The sequence below is a fragment of the Homo sapiens genome, chromosome 1 (assembly GCF_000001405.40).
Source record: "Homo sapiens chromosome 1, GRCh38.p14 Primary Assembly".
In the NCBI taxonomy this organism is placed as follows: Eukaryota; Metazoa; Chordata; class Mammalia; order Primates; family Hominidae; genus Homo; species Homo sapiens.
The window spans coordinates 2,415,516-2,437,803 of record NC_000001.11 but is presented as its reverse complement, the minus strand read 5'-3'; the positions used below and the strand labels follow the sequence as shown (position 1 = coordinate 2,437,803).

At 59.7% G+C, this 22,288-nt stretch overlaps 1 protein-coding gene across 9 annotated transcripts in view, besides 1 other annotated feature; it reads right to left on the bottom strand.

Moving 5' to 3' along the window:
- PLCH2 (phospholipase C eta 2) overlaps positions 1-21,861 on the bottom strand; it is an 89,590-nt gene extending 67,729 nt beyond the window's left edge. For 7 of the 9 annotated variants that reach the window (XM_047435038.1, XM_047435023.1, XM_047435025.1 and 4 more), the window contains exons 1-2: positions 10,059-10,166; positions 7,175-7,466 (exon numbers count right to left, since the gene is read on the bottom strand). In XM_047435038.1, coding sequence (XP_047290994.1) covers positions 7,175-7,466; positions 10,059-10,151 — 385 coding nt within the window. In that variant the 5' untranslated portion in view covers positions 10,152-10,166. Of the gene's footprint in view, positions 1-7,174; positions 7,467-10,058; positions 10,167-21,274; positions 21,421-21,791 lie in introns of those variants that run through there. The other 2 variants (XM_047435029.1, XM_047435028.1) reach the window with 2 other exon arrangements.
- Positions 7,456-7,633: a silencer, noted in NCBI's record as "fragment chr1:2361610-2361787 (GRCh37/hg19 assembly coordinates)". NCBI's record gives its function as "represses an EF-1alpha promoter that drives an FKBP-Casp9 reporter gene in an ReSE screen in HepG2 liver carcinoma cells {active_cell/tissue: HepG2}" and the evidence as "EXISTENCE:reporter gene assay evidence [ECO:0000049][PMID:32094911]".

Genomic DNA, 22,288 nt, shown 5'->3' with positions numbered 1-22,288 from the left:
TGTGTTTCCCTATGTGTGTGGGGGTGGGTATACATATGTGTGTGCACGTATGTGTGTGGTATGCACACGTGTATGTGCATGTCTGCACAAATGTGTGTGCCTTCGTGTGTGCGTGTGCATGTGTGTATTGCCTGTCCCTAGAGAGAGAGGCAGGGAGCAGGCGATCTGGCTATGGCCCCTGCTTAGCCAGGTATGACTTGAGGGTGGTTCTGAAGGGGTGGAGGCTGCAGGGGTGGAGCAAAGAGTGGGACATGGGACAGGAGAGAAACCCCCAGGCTGAGTCGGATGGTGGGCGGGAGGGTGTTCCCAGGATCTGGGCCCCCTAGTTGCGGTGGGTGCTATTTGCCCAGCAGGGAGGCCTGGAGTCAGGGTCTGAGGTTGAGTCCTCAGGGATGATGAATTTGAGATTTGGGCAGAGCTGTCCAGCTGGCCAGAGGAGGTCTAAGTCAGTCTTGGACAGGAGTAGGAGCTGGGCACTGCATGGAGCAACCCTAGAGAATGTGGGGGCCTCTGGAACAGGAGTCCGTGCTCAGAGAAGAGGGGCTCGCAGCCCACCAAGGCACCGAAATTGGCAGAGTGACCCCGGGCCATAACCCAAGCCTGCTCCCTCCCAGCCAAGCCCTCCATGACCCGGGGACCTGCTGTGGCCTTGCTGCTCCCTCACCTGCCCACTGGGCCCCAGGGCAACACTGAGCACCTGACCCATGGGGGCTGCCCTGCCCCACAGAAGGCGAGAGGCCTGGCGGCCCTGTCTGGGCTGGGGACTGTGGGAGGGTCTTGGGAGCAAAGCCCCGGGGAGGGGCCCCAGCAGCACCTCAGGTCCCCATGCTCACCCCCACCCAAGGTGCACCCTGGCCCCAGAGCTCCCCAGGAGGCCTCAGCTGGGTGGTCTCTTGGGACACTCTAACCAGATGGGCCATGCTGCCCACACCCTCCCCTGCCTGCAGGTCCCCACCTACCCTGGCCCAGGAAGACCAACCCTGCCCTCTTCACCAGACTCCAGGAGCCACAGTGCCCACGACAAGGCTGCATATGCCCACTCAGTGCCAGTTTCCAGGACACTAGGAGAAGGGACTAGCCTGACCCTCAGGCCATGCCTGCCAGCACAGCCTGCATAGCCACCCACCCCTGCCTCTCCAGGCCTCCCAGGAGACAGAGCCACAGGTGACGGCTAAGCCCTGGGGAGTCACCACTGACCTTGGAGGGAGGAAGGGAGGAGGGAGGAGGGAGGAAGGAGGAAAGGTGGAGGGAGGAAGGGAGGAGGGAGGAAGGAGGAAAGGAGGAGGGAGGAAGGAGGAAAGGAGGAGGAGGGAGGAGGGGAGGAGGGAGGAAGGAGGAAAGGTGGAGGGAGGAAGGGAGGAAGGGAGGAGGGAGAAAGGAGGAAAGGTGGAGGGAGGAAGGAGGAAAGGTGGAGGGAGGAAGGGAGGAGGGAGGAAGGGAGGAGGGAGGAAGGGAGGAAAGGTGGAGGGAGGAAGGGAGGAGGGAGGAAGGGAGGAGGGAAGAAGGAGGAAAGGAGGAGGGAGGAAGGAGGAAAGGAGGAGGAGGGAGGAGGGGAGGAGGGAGGAAGGAGGAAAGGAGGAGGCAGGAAGGAAGGAGGGAGGAGGAAACAGAGGAAGGAAGGAGGGAGCAGGGAGGAAGGGAGGAGGGAGCAGGGAGGAAGGGATGAGGGAGCAGGGAGGAAGGGAGGAGGGGAGGAGGAAGGAAGAGAGGAGGGGAAGAGGGAGGAGAGAGGAAGGGAGGAGGGGAGGAAGGAGAGAGGAAGGGAGGAGGGGAGGAGGGAGGAGAGAGGAGGGAAGCGGGAGGAAGGGAGGAGGGGAGAAGGGAGGAGGGAAGAAGGGAGGAGGGAGGAGGAGAGGAGGGAGGAAGGGAGGAGGGGCCCTCACTCTTTTCCTGGCCAGAGGGAGAGAGATGATGAGAGCCCAAGTCTCAGCAGCAAATTCAGCCCCACACTGGACAGACCAGGTGTTCCCAGCTGAGCCCCCCAGGTGTGGGGGCTCACTCCAGACTGAGCTGAGCCTCCCATCGCAGGGGCTCTGGACCCCAGCTGCCCACAGTTCATCATCTTCTCCACCCTGGCTGTACTCCACAGCCATCAAAGGACCCTGGAAACCCAGTCTCCCCTCCTGGAGATCACAACAGGCCAGGCGTGCTGTGGGCTCTGAGAGCCGTGTCACGCTGCACTCGGGCCCTGCCAGCCAGCAACTATTCCCACCTCTGTCCTCCCCAGGGACCCCATTGAGGTCCCTGGCCCCTTCCCCAGTCCCTGCAAAGAGAGGCCCCTGCGCCTGCTATCCCCGCCTCACTAACACATGCCTCCAGCCTCCAGCCTCCAGCCTCCAGCCTCCAGCCATTTGGAACCTAAAACAGCTTTGCTGGTGCCCTCTGACTACCCAGGGTGGTGTGAGAGCGCTGGTCAGCCCAGAGCCCGGGGACCCCTGGGCGTGAGCCTCACTTCCCTATCCTCTCTGAGGAAACACCCCGAGCCCAGGTGCCCTCCCTGCAAGAGGCAGCAACCGGGCCCCACCCCCCACAGCCCCTGCCCGGCCTCTGGCCTGCTCACTGTCCGCAGGTGACAGGGGTTCCTGGAGGAAAGGTCCTCACCCCCGGGACCATCTTCCACATGCTCTCCTTCGTCCTGGTGAGCTCCACTCCTCCTCCCAGCAGAGCTCCTGGACTGCCCACTTCTCTGCAGCCCAGGCAGGACCATCCAGGTCAGTGCACCTGCCTCCTGCTGCTGACAAAGCCAAGTCCCTGCGCCCCGGTGTTCTGCCCGGCCTGCTGCATGCTGAGGCTCGCAGGCCACGGACTTCTCAGAACAAATCCCCCCTGAGAAGCCAGCTCTGGGCCACGGGGACACACTTCTAGGGGCCTGCCTTCCCGTGCGGGCTCAGCTCTCCTGGGCAGCCTGGGTACAGCATGGGCGCCCGAGGACATACGCAACCCACAGCTGATTCTGCCCGGGGGTGGTTTCCACGGGGAGCCTCGATTTCCAGGTGAAGCACATCATCAGTGCACGTGGCACCAGGGAGAGGAGCTTGCATGGCCCCAGAGTGGGGACACAACCGGCGAGGCTCTCCCCACTTTTAGTGCGGCTGGCAGCCCGGGCAGCCTGGGGCTCCTCTGCTGGCTGTGGGGGGAAGGGGGTTGCTGGAAGCCAGGCCCTTGCCACACTTGGCCCTTCCGGGACTGGAGGGTCCCACGGCCCAGTGTCCAGGGTTCTGCATCTCAAAGGAGAGTCAGGGCCCCCGAGGCCAGTGACAGAGCTTGTGCCGCCCGCACCTGGCGGCAGCTGCTTTGTCTACAAAGGCAGTGTTTAATTTTGCTTTCCACAACCAGACTGCATTCTGGATACAGCTGAGGAGACAGATAAGGAACCTGTGCGTGGGGGAAATACGCCCCTGCCAGAGGCCCTGTGGGTGCCCGGGAGAGAAGGGGCCCCACGGCACAAGGAGCTGGGGCCACCTTCCCAGGTTGTAAACGGCTGTGAAGGTGAGTCCGTGTGTCCTGCCTCCTTCTAGAAAAGCCTCTGACCTGGCTTCAGGCAGGGACTGACCTGGGGAAGGCGCGGTGCCCCCTGCCCAGGCGCGGCCCCCGCCGGCCCCTGGCACACCCAGCCACCTCCCTTGGTTGCTCAGTAAGAAGCTGAAGGTGGGAGCCTCAAAGAGCTCGGTGCACATACATCAAACGCCACCCAGGGAGACCCGCAGCCTCCAAGGAAACAACGGGAGACCCGCCACGAAGCCGGACGCGCGATGCCTGTGAAGGAACCTCCTGCGATGTTGATGGCAGCAGCTCGTCGAGTTTCCTGGGTGCCCGGGGAGACTGCACTGCTGCCCTTCGGAGCATGAGGCAGACACTCAAAGCCGGGCTCCAGGGGAAAATTCAAACGTTTGAAGGGACCAAACGGCCAACATCACCCGGGACCCCCAGTGTGGGCACATCCGTGGAGGGAGTCGATGGCTCTGAGGGGGTTTGGGGAGCCGGCAGGGGCTCTGCCTAACCCAGGCACCCAAAGCCACGAAGGAGCGGGGAGAGGTGGATGGCAATGGCTGGTCTGATTTTCTCCCTTGTCTTTTTCTGTATTTTCCAAAGCATCTCCTCTGAGTGAGTCTTGCTTTCATGATCAGGGAAAAAAGAAACATACAAGAGCCGCCAACATAAGAGCCGGTGTAGAGTCCGAAGGAAAACGCAGATCTGAGTGCACTTTGAAGTCAGAAAGCCCCCGGGGAGGCTCCTGCTGTGCGGACACACCGTTCCCACCTGTGCCAGCCTCAAGGCACCGAGACTGAGCCGCTCCAGCTCCAGCTCAGTGAGAATGGCGGGGACACATACTCCAGCAGCCCTGAACCCCAAGAGCCACAGCCTCCCGCTGGAGTACTCCAGGGGACAGGAGCACACCGGCCCGGATGGGCCTCAGCAGCCCCCGGCCAAGTAGGGCCATGCTGCCAGCCTCATCCACATGGAGATGCCAGGGAGGCCAGGCCACCAGCAGCCCCAGGTGCACATGCAGTCAGCCCCACAAAACCTGCCTGCCTCTGCTCCCAGCACCACCACCCACACCACAGCACACTGGTCCTCCCCGGACACCTGAGCACGTACACAGCGGGGGCCGGGAGCCAATCTGGAAGGGGAAGAGTGGAAGGAGGACCCCCATTTACCTTTGCTGGCTCAGTATTAGGGGGCAGCCTGAAGAAGGCTCCCACCTCTGAGTTCAGTGGGGCCCCACATCCAAGCTGTTCGATCCTCCCAGAGGGAAACACGGCCCCAACCTCAGGGATGGGAGGGGGCAAAGGGTGGGCACTTGAAGCTCAGCCATGGGCACTGGTGGGTAACAGGCAGGCAGGGTGCCCAGGTTCTTCCACCCAGCCCGTGTGTGCACCGGGAAGAGAAGGGAGCACTGCCACAGACCCCTCCCCACCTGACGGACGGGAAAGACCTCCAGGCGCCTCCCAGGGGCAGCTCCTGTGACAGCCCCTCCGGACGGGGGAGTTGGGGACCCTCCCTGCTGTGGGAGGGCGGCGGTGTCCGTCCAGGCAAGCCTGCACGGCGGGCTCTGACCCTCCACCTCTGGCATCCGGCCCCAGGCACTGAGAGGCTCAGGGATCAGGAGTGAAGGCTCCCAGAGCCTGGAGAGTGCACTGTCTGGGCAGCTCAGACCCTCATCATGCCCAGCAGGGGCCCCCGGGCCCAGGGCGCTGAGTGTGGGGGCCGGGTGCACACCCCAGCCTGTGCCATGGGCCCGGCCACGTGCCCAGCAGTCATTTGCATTCTCCCCCACCCGTTAGCCCCAGGAGCTGGATCAAGCTGCTCTAAATGAAAGCCCGTTACCACGGATACACAAGAACTGGGGTAAGGCAAATTGCACAGGGGACGGGGTGTGCTGTCAGCCATGAGGGGCCAGCAGGGCAGGGGGCTGGCCCCAGTGCTGTCCCACGGCCCCCAACCTGGGCCCCCTGCTGTCCACCTGCCCCAGTCCCAGCCGGAGTGCTCAGTTATTCACCCCCAAGCTGCACTCCCAAGCGGACCTGACCCCCATCCCCATCACTGCCCACCGCTTCAGGGCTGAGGGTGTGAGCCAGGAAGATGAGAGAGTCGGCAGCCAGGTGCCAGCCCCAGCATTGTGGGGTCCTCACCGCCTCATCTGCAGAGTGGGGCCTGGCCTCACTGTGGGCAGCCATGGCCGTGAGTCCCAGAGGAGGCAGCACGAAGCTGACGCCTGGTAAATGCACGAGGCTCCATACAAGCCCCCCAGTCTGGGACCCCGAAACCCAACAGGCAGAGCCGAGCCTGTCCTGGAGCAGGCCAGAGGCCCACACCACCCGGGGCACCTTGCCAACCACCACCCTAATGTGCACAGGTAACTGAGCTGGCATCAGTGGGGGCAGGCACCGACTCAAAGGAAAGGGACACGATTCCGGCTCAACCAAGAAGGAGCCTCCCAGAAAGGCCCCCAGGATGAGGGTAGGCCCAGCACCCAGCACAAGACTGCCCTCCCTCAGCATCCACCACCCAGGCATGGGGCGGGGACAGTAACAAGGGGTAGGAACGGAGAGGCAGGGACTGTGATGAGGGGCAGGGCCAGCAGCAGAAGGGTACACAGCAGGAGTCCTCTATCCTGGGAACCGTTGCCCCTGGACCTGATACTGTTTCTGCATATAGGACCGCTGGCTCCTCCCGCCCCCAGGCCCTGCCAGAGTTGGAAGCTCTCCAGGACTCTGGAAGCTCTGGAGAAGGGGGCGCAGCTTGCTCCCCTCCCCCATCTGGTCTCCCCTTTCCCCGGTGTCCATTCCAGACAGCGCTGAAAGCCAGGGCCCCAAGCCCGGCAGGGGCTGTGTGCAGCTCCCCAGGCGCAGCTCCACCCTCAGATGGCGAAGACCTGTCTGGGCATATCTGGAGAATGTGGCATTGACAAGCCGGAGCCACCTCTGTGAGGCACAGGCATGCACAGAGCATGAGCACACACACACACACACGCACTTGGGCACACACCATGTAGGCACAGGTGCAGACCCTCACGAGTGCAGGCAGACACACGCACACACGCACACACGCTCACCACTGCCATGGTTCTTGCCTGGGAGCGGCCGCCCAGAGAGCAGCAGGGGCCCCCAGGGGGAGCAGAAGCGGCAGATAGCGGTGTGCACACACACACACACGCACACGCACACGCAGGGCAGCCAGCCACAGGCCTGCCACTCCAGGGCATCCCAGCAGAAGCTCAGGAGCTCAGGGGACCAGCTCCACACCCCAAAGTCTCCACACTAGACCCCAGAGCTGTCCGCCACATCGGGAGGCCTTCGCCCTTCTGACAGTGACAACACGACCAAGAAGGAAGCATCGTGAGCTGCAGGGGCACCTCTCCCAGACCCCCCCAGTGCAGCAGGTGGGCAGAGAGCCATCCCCCAAGAATGAACCCACCCCCTCTCTGCCCACACGAAGGGACACACACTGAGAGCTCTTGAATTGCACGCCAGGCTCCTCTGCACGTGGCGGCCCCACCTGCCCTGGGGTGCTAGCAGAGCCCCAGTTCTCCCCAGGTGACATCACGGGACATCAGGGTCACTGAACTGAACCCTGAACCGTATTGTCCCTGGGCTCCAGGAAACAGAGACGCACTCAGCAGGAGAAGAACAATGTTCTCTGGCTTGGTGTGGGTAGCCAGGGCCTCACTCACCCACGGGCAGAATGTTGGCGCTCAAGAAAAGCCACCTGCTCTCCGGATCCGGCCCTGGGTCCTCAGGCGGAAGAGCTGGGCCAGGAAGGGGGCCGGCTGTCGGGGGAGCCATCATGGAGGGACTGAGGACTGTCGGTGGGGGCAGCAACTGAAAGCTGGGACTGGCTGGGATCACCAGCTGGGGCCGGCCGTCCACAGGAGGCAGGAGGAGGCTGCTCTGAGGTCTCTCTGCTCCCGGGGCCCCCGGTGTCCCTTGTCGGGGTGTAGCCTGGGCCAGCAGCGCATCACACACCTAGAGAGAGCAAGAAGGCCAGAGGGAGTTGGTGGGTGAGGTCTGTCCAGGCAGGTGCATAACTCGGGGGAGGGAGCACAGTGTGTGCCCAGTGACCCCTGCTGGCAGGCGCTGCATTGCAGCCCAGCTTCACTGCCCCTCATAGGTAAATAGGCCAGCGCAGTGGGGCTGGGTAGCTGTGTCTGAAGAGTCAGGTGGGAAGAACCAAAGGGCAGGGGAGGAGAGCCACAGGACCCTGCCCTGAAACCCCAAGTCTCTGGGGCAGTCACAGAGGAAGCCAGAAGACCAGGGACCCGAGGCCACAGCTTCCTCCATGCTCCAGCTGTTTCTCTGTGTTGACACTTTCCCCACAGCTTGATGAAATTTAAAGGCAAAACAGGAGTCGCTTTACAGAAACCAGCCAGTCTCCCAGGAGCACATTTGCAAAGCAAGAGGTGCCTGGGGTGTCTCTGAGGCCGGCCCCCCCAGCCCCTCCTGCTGTGCTGGGTACAGGAGGTACTTGCCAGCCCTCACAGCACAAGGGGCCCCCACGGCCCCGAGGAGGAGCCACAGGCATGGCGGGCAGCCCTTTCTCCTTTCTCCAGCCCTGTGGTCTCACCAGTGTCACTCCTGAGGCCAGGGTCTCAAGCCCTTTTGGTCACCACGCACGCAGCCCATGCAGTGAATCAAGGCCCCTTTGGTCTCCCTGGTAATGTCTGCCAAGGGCAGCCCCGCTTGGCTGAGCTCCAAACCCCTAATTCTCACTGCTCCCAAGAAGGGGCCCCAGGCTCCAAACAGCCTCCTCGTCCTGGCCCAGGGGTTCCGTCCCACCAGCCTCTGCTCAGCCTCCCTGCCCAGAACCCGCCTTTCCACCACATCACCCGCCAACTCCTCACTCTCAGGCCAGCTCCTTTCAGAGCCTTTCTGGCCACCTTTTCCTTGGTGCCTGCCCCTCAGGGAGGTGAGTGCCCTCCCTGGGGAGGGGATTAACAGGGGCCAGGTGGAGGCCTTGGCCATTAGGCCTGGATTCTTCCCAGCCTGCCCAGCACAGATGGACATCAGGAGTCCTGGGCCCTCAAACACACAGAGCCATGCTCTGCCAGGTGGGAAGAACAGCCAGGGCTGGGAGGGGCAGGCTCCTGTCGGCATGTCTCTCTCCCCAGGGCCCTAGAAGGAGCCCTGGCAGGTAGGACCCCCACCCTTGACCTCGCCTCCCTCCTCGCACCCAATCCCCAGGAAGGAGGGCCCCTTGGCCACCTGTCCCCTCACCCTGCACACCCCAGGCCCTGGCCCTCCAGCCTCACCCACCCCCTCCAATCGGCACAGACCTAGACTTGGCTGGCCCGGCACCTCTGGCAGCCCTGGCCCCAGAAGATGGCAGGGAGAGGGCATTGGGCCACCACCCACCCCGGGGCCCCCAGGACTCCCAGCTCGCTCTCGACCAGAGGCCTCCCTCCTCACCCAAGCCTGGTGGTGCCCAGCCCTCTCTCCGGAGCCTCTCACCGCACTGCCCTGGCTCCAGGCTCACCCCCAGGCATGGGGTCTCCCAGCCCGGGTTCCCCGAGGCGGCTGGAATGAGCACTCAGCCCCTCAGCCTCAGGGCCCTGGAGGCTTGAGCTGATCCAGCCACCGTCCCAGCCGGAGACCGGCAGGTTCCTGAGCAGTTCCTGCGGCAGTGGGAGTGCAGGAGCCGTGCCCCGACACGTCTGCCGGCGCAAGGGCCGGGCGTGGGCTCCGCTGGGGCTGGCACAGTCCAACCTAATTAGGCAACAACGCCACGTCGGCTGCCGCAAGCCTAGGCGAGGCCACGGAGGACCATGAGGTCAGCCGTTGGCGTGGGCCCCACAGCACGGCACCGGGCGAGCCAGACGCAGGACCCCATGCAGGACAGATGCAGTCCACGCTTGCCCACCCAGTCCTGCCCTGAGAGCCACCGTGGTCCCAGAGTGGCGCCCTTACTTCCAGCCACACTGGTCTCTGCGGCTCCTGGAGAGCTGGAGAGGGCCTACAGGTCAGAGGAGCACTGGCTGGTCTTGTCATGGGGCCATCCCCAGCGAGGCCTGCTGCTCCCCGCCCTGGCCATGGAGTGCTGGCCGATCCCCAGGAGCCCAGACCCTGGCCTAAGAAGGGGACATTGCCGGTGCCAGGCCTTCAGCCTCTGCTCAGACCCTGGACCTGCTGCCTTGGGCAACTCTCACTGACAACGTCACTCGGGGCCAGGCTGGACCGGGCCATGCTGGGGACAGGGTGGAGAGGTCCCCTGGACCCTGTCCCCATTGAATCAGGAAGCACAGCCCAGGCCCAGGCCCAGCTCCGGGCCGAGTGCCCAGGGTGCAACGACCACACACAGACCAGCAGATCTTCCTCTAGGCAGGGACCTCTGCCCTCGAAGCCCCCGGAGGATGAAGTGTCACCCACTCAGCAGGTCCTACAGCCCTAAGTTCCCAGCCTGCCCGCCCACTGCTCTCACCCACAGGGAGAGCCCAGGTACCTGCTCAGGGCCAGCGAGTCCAAGCCGGCTCCCACCCCTGGAGGGCTCCCACCCCCGGAGGGCTCCCACTTCTGGAGGGCTCCCACTTCTGGAGGGCTCGCCGGCTGCTTCTGTTTCAATACCTGCGGTGGCCCCTCACGCTGTGTCCCTTGGATCGCGAGCTCCCAGCAGAGGTACCGGAGGCCCCCACAAGCCCCGGCCTGCTCCTCTGACATCCTCCCATCCTCCCTCCCACCTTCTGCGGCAGTGCCCAGGAAGTGGGGTGCCACACCCTTGGCTGGTATCCCCTGGCTCAGGAAGCCCCCTGAGGGCAGGTAGAAGTGGGAGCCTCAGCCTCTCCAGGAAAGATGTCACAGAGGGGCTCCCTCTCCCTCCTGGCCTGAGGCCCCACTGGCCACCCAGCCCACAAGAGAGTCCACTCTCAGGAGGGAGAGATTGAGGCCCAGAGAGGGCAGGACCCTATCCCGGAGAAACCACCAGCAGGGGCGGCTGAGCTGGGGCGGGTTCGGCTGCCCCCAGCACCTGACTCGTCCCAGACCTGCGGCCCCGGGCCCCCACGAGAGACCCAGAGGGTGAGGGGACAGCCTGCCTGCCCCAGCTGCCCTCCTGGCCCCAGGGCGCCCCACTGCAGCCCACTGCCCAGCTCCTCAACGCCCCCAGGAGCTCCACCCGGTGGGCCCCTAGCCGCCGGCACCCGCTGTCACACAGAGGCCACCTCCTGCTACTTCCCTGCTACCCTGACTTCCGTCTCCAGGCTGAACGTGGGTCCCAGGTATGGAGACCCCCGGCCAAGACGTCCTGGGCATAGGAGGCAGACCAGGCCCCATGCCAGTGAGCCTATGGCTGGGCCTCTGCCACTCTGCCAGGGGCCACTGGCTGCCCACAGTCCTCCCCACTCTCCCAGCCCAAGGCCCCTCTGTGAGGCCCTGCTCCCACCCCTGGACTTAGCGGATGCAGGGAACACAGACCTAAGGCCCCGGAGAAGCCACAGGCCCCAGCAAGCTCAGCCGCTGCCCCCAAGCTGGTGGGGTTGCTGGAGCCCGCCTGGCTACGCCCACCTGCTGGCCTGGCCGCACAGGGAGACAAAGAACCCAGCAGCCCCGACCCCACAACCGTGTCAGGAAGTGCGAGGCTGAGGCCAGGCCCCTCCATGCTCACAGCGGGCAGGAATGCCAGCCTGCACATCTGCGCTCAGGGGCCAGCTTCATGGAGGGAGTGGAGCCCGCCCAGCTCGCCGGCACTCTGGAGACAGAGGGAGGGGTGTTTGACAAGGGAAGGGAAGACCGCGAGGGGCCAGCCCTAGGTCAGCGTGGGAGCACTGGGCCGAGCTCGTGTGTGTAGGCCGGGGACTCCGCCACTCTGACCCGGAGGGAAAGGCCCCCAGGACCCCATGGGGACTCAGGAGGCTGCTCACGGCAGCCCCGAACCAGGGACTTTGGGAGGCCATGGGGTGGGGGACACCCCGGAGCCCCACTCAGTGTTAGAAGCAAGAAGGGGAAGCTTAGTGCCAGGTGGAGAAAGTAAAGATCAGAACGGGGTGCTTGGCCAAACACGGGGCCATAGACACTGCTCCCCAGAGTGTGGCCCACATAACCCTGGGGTCCTCAGAATCTTCCAGGAGCCTGCAAGGTCTAAGCTGTTTTTATGTAAAGGAGGTGTCCCTTCCCCGCGCTGACATCTGCACAGATGGTGAAAGGCTCTGATGGGTGACACCCTGGGCCTCGGCTCAGATACAGTGTCCTTCACCAGTGCGTGCTCAGAATTAAAGCAGAGAAGAGGCCATTTCCCTAAGAAGGTCTTTGTTGAAACAGCACAAATGATGAACTGTACCAAAGCTCAGTTCCGTGCAGGGAGCCAGGGAGAACAGAAAGCTGCCGCAGCAAAGGGCGTTTTCCTGGGAGGAGGCTCTCGAGCGACGGGGACTCCAGCTGAATTAGCCGGGGGACCCACAGTATAGTGGGGAGCAGGACTTTCCTGGAAAGACAGCTGAGACACTGTGGTGCTGCCGGCCGTGTGCTGCATAGGTATTTCCTCAAAAATGCATGAGCCCAGCGCAGTGCCTCACTCCTGTCATCCCAGAACTTTGGGAGGCCAAGGCAGGTGGATTGCTCAACTGAGGAGTTTCAGACCAGCCTGGGCAACATGGTGAAACTCCATCTCTACAAAAAAAAAAAAAACACACCAAAATTAGCCAGGCGCGGTGGTACGTGCCTGTAATCCCGGCTACTTGGGGGTCTGAGGCAGGAGAATCACTTGAGCACAGAAGGCAGAAATTGCAGTCAGCCAAGATCATGCCACTGCACTCCAACCTTGGCAACAGAGGCAGACCCTGTCTAAAGCCTGCCACCTAAAAACCAGCAGAGCAGATCCAGCAACCCCACTCCTGCATATACTCCCAAAGGAAATGAAATCCACGTGTTGAAGAGACCTGCATTTCCATGTCCACTGCCACACTGTTCACAACAGCCGAGTTACAGAATCAGCCTGAGTGTCCATCAGTGGATGAGTGGATACAGAAAATGTGTGTGGGGGGGTGTATGTGTGTGTATATGTGTGTATGTATATGTGTATCTGTGCATGTGTATATATGTGTGTGTATATGTGTGTATGTATGTGTGTGTTACATATGTGTGTGTAAATATGTGTGTGTGTGCATGCGCCCAAGCAACGAAATACTATTCAGCTTTTTTTTTTTTTTTTTTTGAGACGGAGTGTCACACTCTATCGCCTAGGCTGGAGTGCGGTGGCGCGATCTCCGCTCACTGCAGCCTCCGCCTCCTGGGTTCAAGTGATTCTCCTGCCTCAGCCTCCTGAGTAGCTGGGATTACAGGTGGCCGCCACCACGCACGTCTAATTTTGTGTTTTTTGTTTTTTGTTTTTTTGAGACGGAGTCTTGCTCTGTTGCCCAGGATGGAGTGCAGTGGAGCAATCTCAGCTCACTGCAACCTTCGCCTCCCGGGTCCACACCATTCTCCTGCCTCAGCCTCCCGAGTAACTGGGACTACAGGCGCCCGCCACCATGCCCAGCTAATTTTTTTATTTTTAGTAGAGACAGGGTTTCACTGTGTTAGCCAGGATGGTCTCGATCTCCTGACCTCGTGATCCGCCCGCCTTGGCCTCCCAAAGTGCTGGGATTACAGGCATGAGCCACCGCGCCCGGCCTAATTTTGTGTATTTTTAGTAGAGATGGGGTTTTGCCATGTTGGCCAGGCTGGTCTCAAACTCCTGATCTCAAGTGATCTGCCTGCCCCAGCCTCCCAAAGTGCTGGGATTATAGCTGTGAGCCACCGCACCTGGCCTCAGCCTTTAAAAAGGAAGAAATTCTGTCATTTTCAACAACATGGATGGAACTGGAGAACATCAAGTTAAGTGATATAAGCCAAACCACAGGAGACAAATACCACATCTTCTCACTTATATGTAGAATCTAAAACACCTGAGCTCATAGAAGCAGGGTAGAAAGCTGGTCCCTAGAGGCCAGGGTTTGGGGAATGGGGAGATGATGGCCAAAGGGTGCCAGGCCTCAGTTAGACAGGAAGGGTATGTTTTGTGGTTTGGGGGAATTTTTTAGTTCTGTTGTGCAGCATGGTGAATATAATTAATAATAGAGTTTCGTGCATTTCAAAACTGCTAAGAGTACATGTCAAATGTTCTCACCACAAAAGATGGTAAATATCTGAGGTGATGGTTATGTTAATTAGCTTGATTTAAACTGAAATGATTGTATTTAAAAATCATAACATCACTATCTACCTCATAAATATATACAACTATAATCTGTCAAATATATACTTTTAAAAATGAAATTTAAAAATAAACAGGCCGGGCACAGAGGCTCATGCTGGGAGGCCAGGGTGGGAGCACCACTTGAAGACAGGGTTTGAGGCTGAAATCACCCCTGTAAACTTTATAAAATTATTCAGAGAAGAAGGGAGGGGGAGAAGGGAAAATGAACTAAGCTGGTGGTGCAGGCAGCGTCACGACGAGGTGGGCTGGCTCTCTGACCTCTCCTCATAACTGTTGCTGCCTACTGCCCCAGAATCACACAGACCCCGTCCCAAGATCATAGTTCCCCTAACTACCATAGAGAGAACAACTTAAACATTGTAAAAGGTTGATTTCCATCTGAGATGCTCTTTCAGGTCCTGCATAACAGTAAAATTACTGATGCCAGCTGGTGGGAAGGACCTCACAGGAGCTGACTCACCAGCAAATGCATTTTCCACCTCCTGATTTCATCCCCCTTACCCCAACAAGTCAGTGACCCCAGCTTCTCCAGCCCCTCACCCTCCATAATCTCCTTAAGAACCCCAGCCCAGAACTCCAGGGGAGGTGGATTTGAGGGTCTCCTCCCATCTCCTTGCTTGGCACCTGCAATCATTAAGCTTTCTCTGCTGCAAACCCTGCTGTCTCCGTGTATCGGTTGGTTACTGTGCAGAGGGCACACCAACCTGGTGGCCTTGTAACAAGAACAGCAGGGACAACAGAGCAAGATCCCATCTCTTTAAAAAAAATAGCTGGGTGTGGGGGGATGTGCCTGTGGTCCCAGCTACTCAGGAAGCTGAGGCAGGAGGATTGCTTCAGCCCAGGAGTTCGAGGTTACGGTGAACTGTGATGGTGCCACTGCATTCCAGCGTGGGGGACAGAGCAAGACCTTGTCTCTAAAACAAACAAACAACAAACAAACAAACAAACAAAAAAACTAAATAAAACCCTCTCCAAAACAACACAAAACAGCAAATTGCAGGATCTGTTGCCAATAATAAAATTCAGGCTTAGGTAAAAATCAGCATTTTGGAAAACTTGTATTCATCACTGTGAGTCTATCAGCTTCCAAATATTTAAAGGCTTTTATCGTGAGATCGGGGTGATAGTAATGTGATTTTGGGATAATATTTAATAAAACGTGTCAAGATTTGAAAAATCTGCATAACTCAGTAAACCAATATTTTTCAAATTATTAATACCAAAACATGGTCTTCCAAAATTATGCACAGGTAAATTTCCACTCAAAGTGAAAAACAGGGCCAGGTACAGCGGCTCATGCCTGTAATCCCAACACATTAGGAGGCTAAGGTGGGAGGATCACTTGAGGCCAGGAGTTTGAGGCCACAGTGAGCTATGATGGTACCACTGCACTCCAGCCTGGGCAACAGAGCAAGACCCTTTCTCAAAACATAACAAAAACAAAAAACAAAGTAAAAACAGACCAACAGATGATAATGTAACACAACAGATGATAATGTAACAATACAAAAAGTCCATTGGCACGGTTTCAGATTCTGTTATCGCAACAACCTGTAAGAAACTCTACCATTCATCCAGTCCGGGTGTACCATCAGAGAAGAGTGTCCATGATTACCTGAAAAGGCGGCTCAGCCCTGTGAGGCCAGATCTCTTCACTGATTTCAACCAAAACACACTGCGACAGATGCAACGCAGATGCAGACAAACATTCAAGAGACTGCAAAACTGCAAAGCCACGTCCCTCTTCTCACTGGATTTTTTTGTTTTGAAAGTATTTTTCATAAAATGTTAACGTGTTATTTCTATTAACATGTCATTAGTTTATGGGTTTTTGTTTGTTTGTTTGTTTTTTGAGGTGGAGTCTTGCACTGTCCTCCAGGCTGGAGTGCACTGGCGCGATCTCGGCTCACTGCAACTTCCACCTCCTGGGTTCAAGCGATTCTCCTGCCTCAGCCTCCCGAGTAGCTAAGATTACAGGCACCTGCCACCATGCCCGGCTAATTTTTGTATTTTTAGTAGAGACATGGTTTCCATGTTGGCCAGGATGGTCTCAAACTCCTGGCCTCAGGTGATCCTCCTCCTTCAGCCTCCCAAAGTGCTGGGATTACAGGCGTGAGCCACTGCGCCTGGCCTTTTCTTCTTTTTTTGAGATAAAGTCTTGCTCCGTCGCCTGGGCTGGAGTGTAGTGGCGTGATCTTGGCTCACTGCAGCCTCTGCTTCCCAGGTTCAAGCAATTCTCCCGCCTCAGCCTCCTGTGTAGCTGAGATTACAGGCATGCGCCACCACGCCCAGCTAATTTTTGTATTTTTAGTAGAGACGGGGTTTCACCATGTTGGCCAGGCTGGTCTCAAACTCCTGGCCTCAGGTGATCCTCCTGCCTTGACCTCCCAATGTGCTGGGATTACAGGTGTGAACCACTGTGCCTGGCCCGTTGTTATTTTCAATAAGACTTCATGAATATTTTCATATTTTTTTATGAAGGTGGTGTAAACATGTGGTGTAAATATTCCCACTTGAGCCCACAGAGCACAGAGTGGGGAAGAGATGGACAGTATCATACGGCATTTCCACTAGACAGACACACACAGACTGCACCCAGATAACAGCGTGGATCACAGTAAGCTAGAAATAATTAGGAAGCAATACATTTTGAGTATTTATTTCCTTTGCTTTTTATAGTATTTCTGTGTTTTACATAATTTAATTACTTTAATTTGATTTGAATAATGGTTGTGTCCAACAACCAGCTGATGAGATTACTGGAGATGCTACCGTAGGTTCTGGTGAGCACGTGCAAGCCTGCTCCAGCACACACTACAGACAGCACCCCAAAACCAAAGCTCCTTGGGCTTCTCAACAGCTGCTAAGAGTGTTGGGGCCAGATGCAGTGGCTCACGTCTGTAACCCCAGCACTTTGGGAGGCCAAGGAGGGTGGATCATCTGATGTCAGGAGTTCGAGACCAGCCTGGCCAACGTGGTGAAATTCCGTCTCTACTAAAAATACAAAAATTAGCCAGGCGTGGTGGCGCATGCCTGTAATCTCAGCTACTCAGGAGGCTGAGGCAGGAAAATCGATTGAACCCGGGAAGCAGAGGTTGCAGTGAGCCGAGATCGCACCACTGCACTCCAGCCTGGGTGAGACTCTGTCTCAAAAAAAAAAAAAAAAGTGTGAAGGGATACTAAGGCCAAAACATTTGCACCCCACTAATAGTGATTAAAATACTCGCACCAGAACAACACAGCATTCTGGAAAATACAAAAAACGAGATACACACTCAACGCTCCTCAGAAGGAGTCCCAAGGGGGAAGAGATACTGATGTGGGTAAAGGCAATGAATCGATCGATCACTCACTCCACCCTCCAATCGAGAGAGGAGCGACTCCCACAGCCCTCCAGGCCTGAGGCCTGAAGAGGAGATTTTTCAAAATGGGGGTCTCTGGGTCAGAGGTCAGCTTGAAGCCTGCCCTTAAACTCTCCCTCTCTGACTCAGTTTCCTCATCTGTAAAGCGGGGTGCAAAGAGTGTGCCCCAGCCCTGGGGTCCTGAGAAGCTGGACCTGGCAGGCGGACTTGAGGCCCTTCCTGTGGTCCAGCTCCGGGACTCCCCAGCCCTCGGGGCTCTTTCTGCAGCCCCTACCTACCGGGACATAACCGTTCAGCCCCGCATCCCACTGTGGATCCGCAACCCCGCCCCTGCCTGGACCTTCTCCCCTTGCCAGCATCACTGGGCCCCACAGGCCCCCACACCCACCTCTCGAAGGAGGTGGAAGCTTTCAGACCTGCACCTGGGAAGCTTTGTCCTGAAATCACAGGGCAGGGGGCTGAAAGTGGAATCGAGCAGCGGGAGGAAGGACAAGAGGTAGGTGCTGCCTGGATGCCCCCCAGACACTGGCTCCTTTGGGATCCAAGTCTTGGGGAGGAGTTGGGGTCAGCTGAGAGGGATGTGAGGTAGGGGCTGGGGCGGGGGGCCTGTCTGAGTCCTTAACTCAGCACTGATGAGCTCCTGACCAATGACCAGAGATGGCGGGGAGTGGGGAGGCAGGTTACTGTTGCTGTGCCTGCCCCCACCCCCATAGCTGTACCCAGGCTACTGGGGAGGCAGCACAGGAGGGGGTAGTGGGGGGAGCGCACAAAGGGGTTGCCTGGGGGTGGGGGGGGGACTTGGCCTGCTATGCTTGAACTTTGAGTTGGCAAGAGCCGACTACGGGCAGCAGGTGCAGCAGTTCCGAGGCAGAAAGGGCCTGGCTGGCCCCAGCCCAGGGCTGGCTTGAGGGTCCCAGTCCAGCTTCTACGGACAGCTTCAGATTAATCCCCCAAGGATGAATATGGTGGAGCCCACAGGAAGAAGGATGAGCGGCCCCCAAGTCTCCAGAGCCCCATGTCACCACCTCCACCAGAGCCAGCAGCGCCTCCTCAAAGCTGGCCCCCGGGTCTGTGGATGCCAGGGTCAGGCACGGGGATCCCTGCATTGAGCTCCGGGCAAGAAGAGCCAGTGAGGTGGTGGGGTGGTAGATCTGGAGAGCCCCGGGCCCCTGCCTGCTCCCCTTCCGCCCTCACCGGCCTCACATCCCCAGGGGAGACCCTGCACCCCACTGCCATGGGAGGCGCCTCTGTCAACAACAAGTGGAAAACCCCCCCGACCAACGGCCGAGGCCCGGGCCTCAGAGTGTGGACCAGCTCCGCACAGGCGCCCCTTCGATCCCCTCTGGACAATTATTGTCTCTTCACAATCAGTGGGAAACTCAAGGACCAGCAAATAGGACCTCCAGGGCCAACCAGGAATGGCACGGCTGAGCCAGGGGTGCTGAGGGAAGGGGCTGGCAGGGGATAGATGGATTTACGGATGGATAGACAGACAGCAGCACAGCCCAAGGCCTCCACTGTGGATTGAAGCTCGACCGTGCAGACCAGGCCGGCAGCCTGGGAGGGGACAGATGACCGCAGGTGGGAAGGGTCAGGGCAGGCTCTCCTGGGACGGGCCCCACGCAGGGAAGGGCAAGGAGCTGGGCAGACAGATGGGGGAGCCTCAGACGCCACATCCTTGGCCAGGTGTCACATGCCCCAGCCAGAGGATGAGCCGTGCCAACCGCAGAGAGAGGCGTCGGGCACAGACCCCGAGGATGGGGAGGTGAGCAGGTCCTCTCTCGGGTAGGGGAGTGGTAGGAAGAATCAAGGGCTACTTGGCTGCAACCCCAATAAGCCAGGTTTTGCGCCAGCATTTCCCCACCCAGTGTGGGCTGAGGTGGGCAGAGACCTGGGCATAACTGGGCACTGGGAGATCAGCAGCCAGGGAGAGGGGGACAGCCAAGTCGAGGCCATGTGCAAAGGAGAGGCCGTCATAAGCGCACAGGTCAGGTGTCTGCGGAGCACACGGCTCACTCCCACTCGCACAGACAGGACCTGCGGAGGCAGGCGGGCAGGCTCAGGAGTCCAGGACGGCACCCCTGGAACTTGGGGAGCCTTTGCCTGACTGAAGATCCTGAGCCCTGAGGAGCAGCCTCGTGGGGAGCCCTTATTGTCCATCGGGCATCAAATGCCAGGTTCAGAACTCCTGAAGGAGGCGGGTCAGAGGAGAACAGGAGTGGATGACCCACACCATTCAGCCGTCCGAGGGAGGCAGTGGGTGGGGCCCAATGCCAGCCATGGCCCCGGGGCCCCTCCTTCTAGCACGTGGTGGAGCAGAACGACCAGAGCCCTGCCCCCTCCACTGAGACCCCCAGAGCTCGCTGCAGGAGCCCCCATGCCTGACCCTGGCATCCAGACCCGGGAGCCAGCTTTGATAACTAAAACACCCCCACTCCTGTCTCTCTCGGTCTAACTGAAGGCGCCCAGAGGAATGCTGGACGCTGTCACTGTCGGCAGCTGCTCATCGGTGTGAATCAGTTCAGTGCAGTTTCCAAAAAACAAAATTCAGAAACCAACTAGCTATGGGGCTGAAGACAGAGCAACGTGGGCTCTGCCCGGAATTCTCGGGGGCACCTGCCGTGATGGGTGTCTGCCTCGCACCGGTCACACGTCTTCACTGCGCTGACTCCACAGCTCCTGCAGGTTCCTGAGTGCCTGCGTGTTCGCGTTTGGGGGCAGGACACAGGGATGCCCTGGGCTCAGCCTCTTCTCACCAGAGTCTAAATGCCTGCAAAGCCCTGAGCTGGGGGTCCGAGGCAGGCCCCGGAGGGCACCCCACACATGTGCCATCCTGAGTCCTCTCATAACCCGGGAGGCAGGGGCCTCTATTCCCCCACTTGACAGGTGAGGAAGCTGAGGCCAGGGAAGACCAGGAGCTGCTCAAGGTCACACCTCAGCGCAGAGGCTGTAGCCCCTGCCCGTCCCCTCCTCCCAGGGCTGCCTGGCTCCCAGCCCTGACTCTGCCTTAGGGGAGGCTGTGTGGGGAAGGTGGCGTGGCAGTGCCTCAGGAGGTGGCTCCCAGGTGCCCTCCAGCCAGCACACAGCCCCTCACCGGCTGGCCACACTCAGCACAGCCCAGGCTATGCAGTGCTCGCAGGACAGGGCCGGACTCTCCACAGCCCATCCAGATGCCCACATCCAGAGTGGACGCCATTCCAGCTTGGGCCTCCCTCGTGGGTCCTCTCCGGCCTTGCCTAGTACCCACAGGTCCTGGGCTCACTCTCCTGGGAACCCCACCCTGTGTGATTCCAGACTCACCAGGCCCCCTCCCTCCGGCCTCACAGAGGAGGCTGGGAAGCTGGGCAGGGCCCACCCTTAGTGCCCCCCAACCCAACAATCCCAGCCTCCACTTGTCAGAAAAGGCCATGCCTCTCACATGGACAGAGCCCTCCCTCACTCTTACCAGTGCAAAGTCTCTTCCTCCAGGAAGTCCTCCCAGATCTCCTTTTTGGGGGACCCTTGGTTTCCAGCCCCTAGTTATCAGCCGGTTCACCCCAGATGACAGCTGCACACCAGGACCCCTCATTTCCTATCAGCGAGGTCATGGTGCCCAGCACCCCTCCCCAATCCCAGCGACAGGTAGAGACTGGGACACAGGTATGGGCAAACTGACCTGGGATTCACCTTGTGCCTGCCTTGGACCAGGCATGGCCTCTCTGGCCATCAGTTTCTCAACTCTGCCACAGGCCCATGCCCCTCTCTCCACAGACCCCTCCCCATTTCTCTTTCCTGTCCTAGCTCCCTCAAGGTCCTAAGAGCAGCCCAGAGCCCCAGAGCCCCAGGGCCCCCCCAGGCTGGCTCTGCTGTCAGACCCACAGTTCTGCCAGGAATTCATTCCTGCTGGTCCCCGGCCAACACAGGGACACAGGCAGAGCCCCGGACCACCTGCCCGAGCCCCAAAATCACCCAACATCACTTCCCAGGCCAGCCCATGCCCACACCAACCCTCTGCACTCTGCACCCCTGTCCTAACCTCACCTGCTAAACCCTGGCCCAGGCACTGTTTCCCACGGAGGCTCCAGGAGGCCTTCATCCACCAGCACTTCCTGCCTCTGGCTGCCGGGCCCCGCCCTCCCCATCTTGGCTCTGGGGCCTCTGCCTGACTGTGCCCACCCAGGGCTCACTTCCCCTCCCTGGGCCCAGTGCCGCCCGCTGCCCACCCTCCCCAGCTCACACTCTGCAGGTACCTCCAGGTCCTGGGTCTGCCACAGACGGGTGGAGTGCGGCTCCCAGGGCCTCCAGCCAGGCAGACGAACCCGTTCTCCTGGTTTGTGGCTGGCACTGCGAGGGGCTTCCCGAGGGCCGCACCCTACAGTCCCTGTACTCGGGGCCAGCTTGTGGGTGGCCCTTCCTCAATCCCCAAACCCATGTATAGCTAAAGAGAAGGGAGGGGACACTGCCACACCCCTGAAGCCAGAACTGCCATGCTGGGCAGGAGCCACTCCCCTCAAGCAGCACCAGCGCCCACTTTGCCCACCCAGGGACCCCGACCTGCTGCGTCCAGCTCCTGGGCCCACCCTGCCCTCCTCGGGGTCCTGAGCGACCGCTGGGTGCCAGGCAGCAACCCAGGCACAGCAGTCCCCTGTTCCGGTGGTGCTCACACCCCACCAGAGGGGGCACAGGGGGCAGCACCTGCTGGTGCGTCAGATCACCTGCGGGGCTGCCCACCGCACTGGGTGTTGGTGGGGGGATGGGGATACGAACCGTGGGGCTGCACCCCGAGCTCCCTCTCCTCCCCGGCCTCTGAGCTCCCCACAGCACCGGAACTGGGTTTAGCGGAGGAGCGCAGGCCCTCCAGAGGAAGGATGTCGGACAACACACCTGCTGCTGCTGGGCGGAAGTGGGTGAGTGTGATGGGCGAGGCTGAGAACCCTGCTCCGGCGCAGGCTTCATCTGGGAGCTTGTTGGAAATGCAGAACTGGACCTCGTCCCAGGCCCATCCACCCAGACCTGCACTGTGACCAGACCCCAGACGATGTGTGCACTGGGCAGGAGCAAAGCAGGCTCTTAATAAATACCAGCTGATTATTACCCAGTCCCATTCCACAGACCAGAAGACGGAAGCCCAGGGGAGTTCAGATGGAATGGGTGTGAGAGCCCCCTGTAAATGGCAGGGCCGGCGGAGGGCACAGCAGGCTGCGGTCAGAGGCCAGCCAGGAAGCACTGCTGTGCAGCGTCCCCAGCAGCCTGGTTTTGAAGCC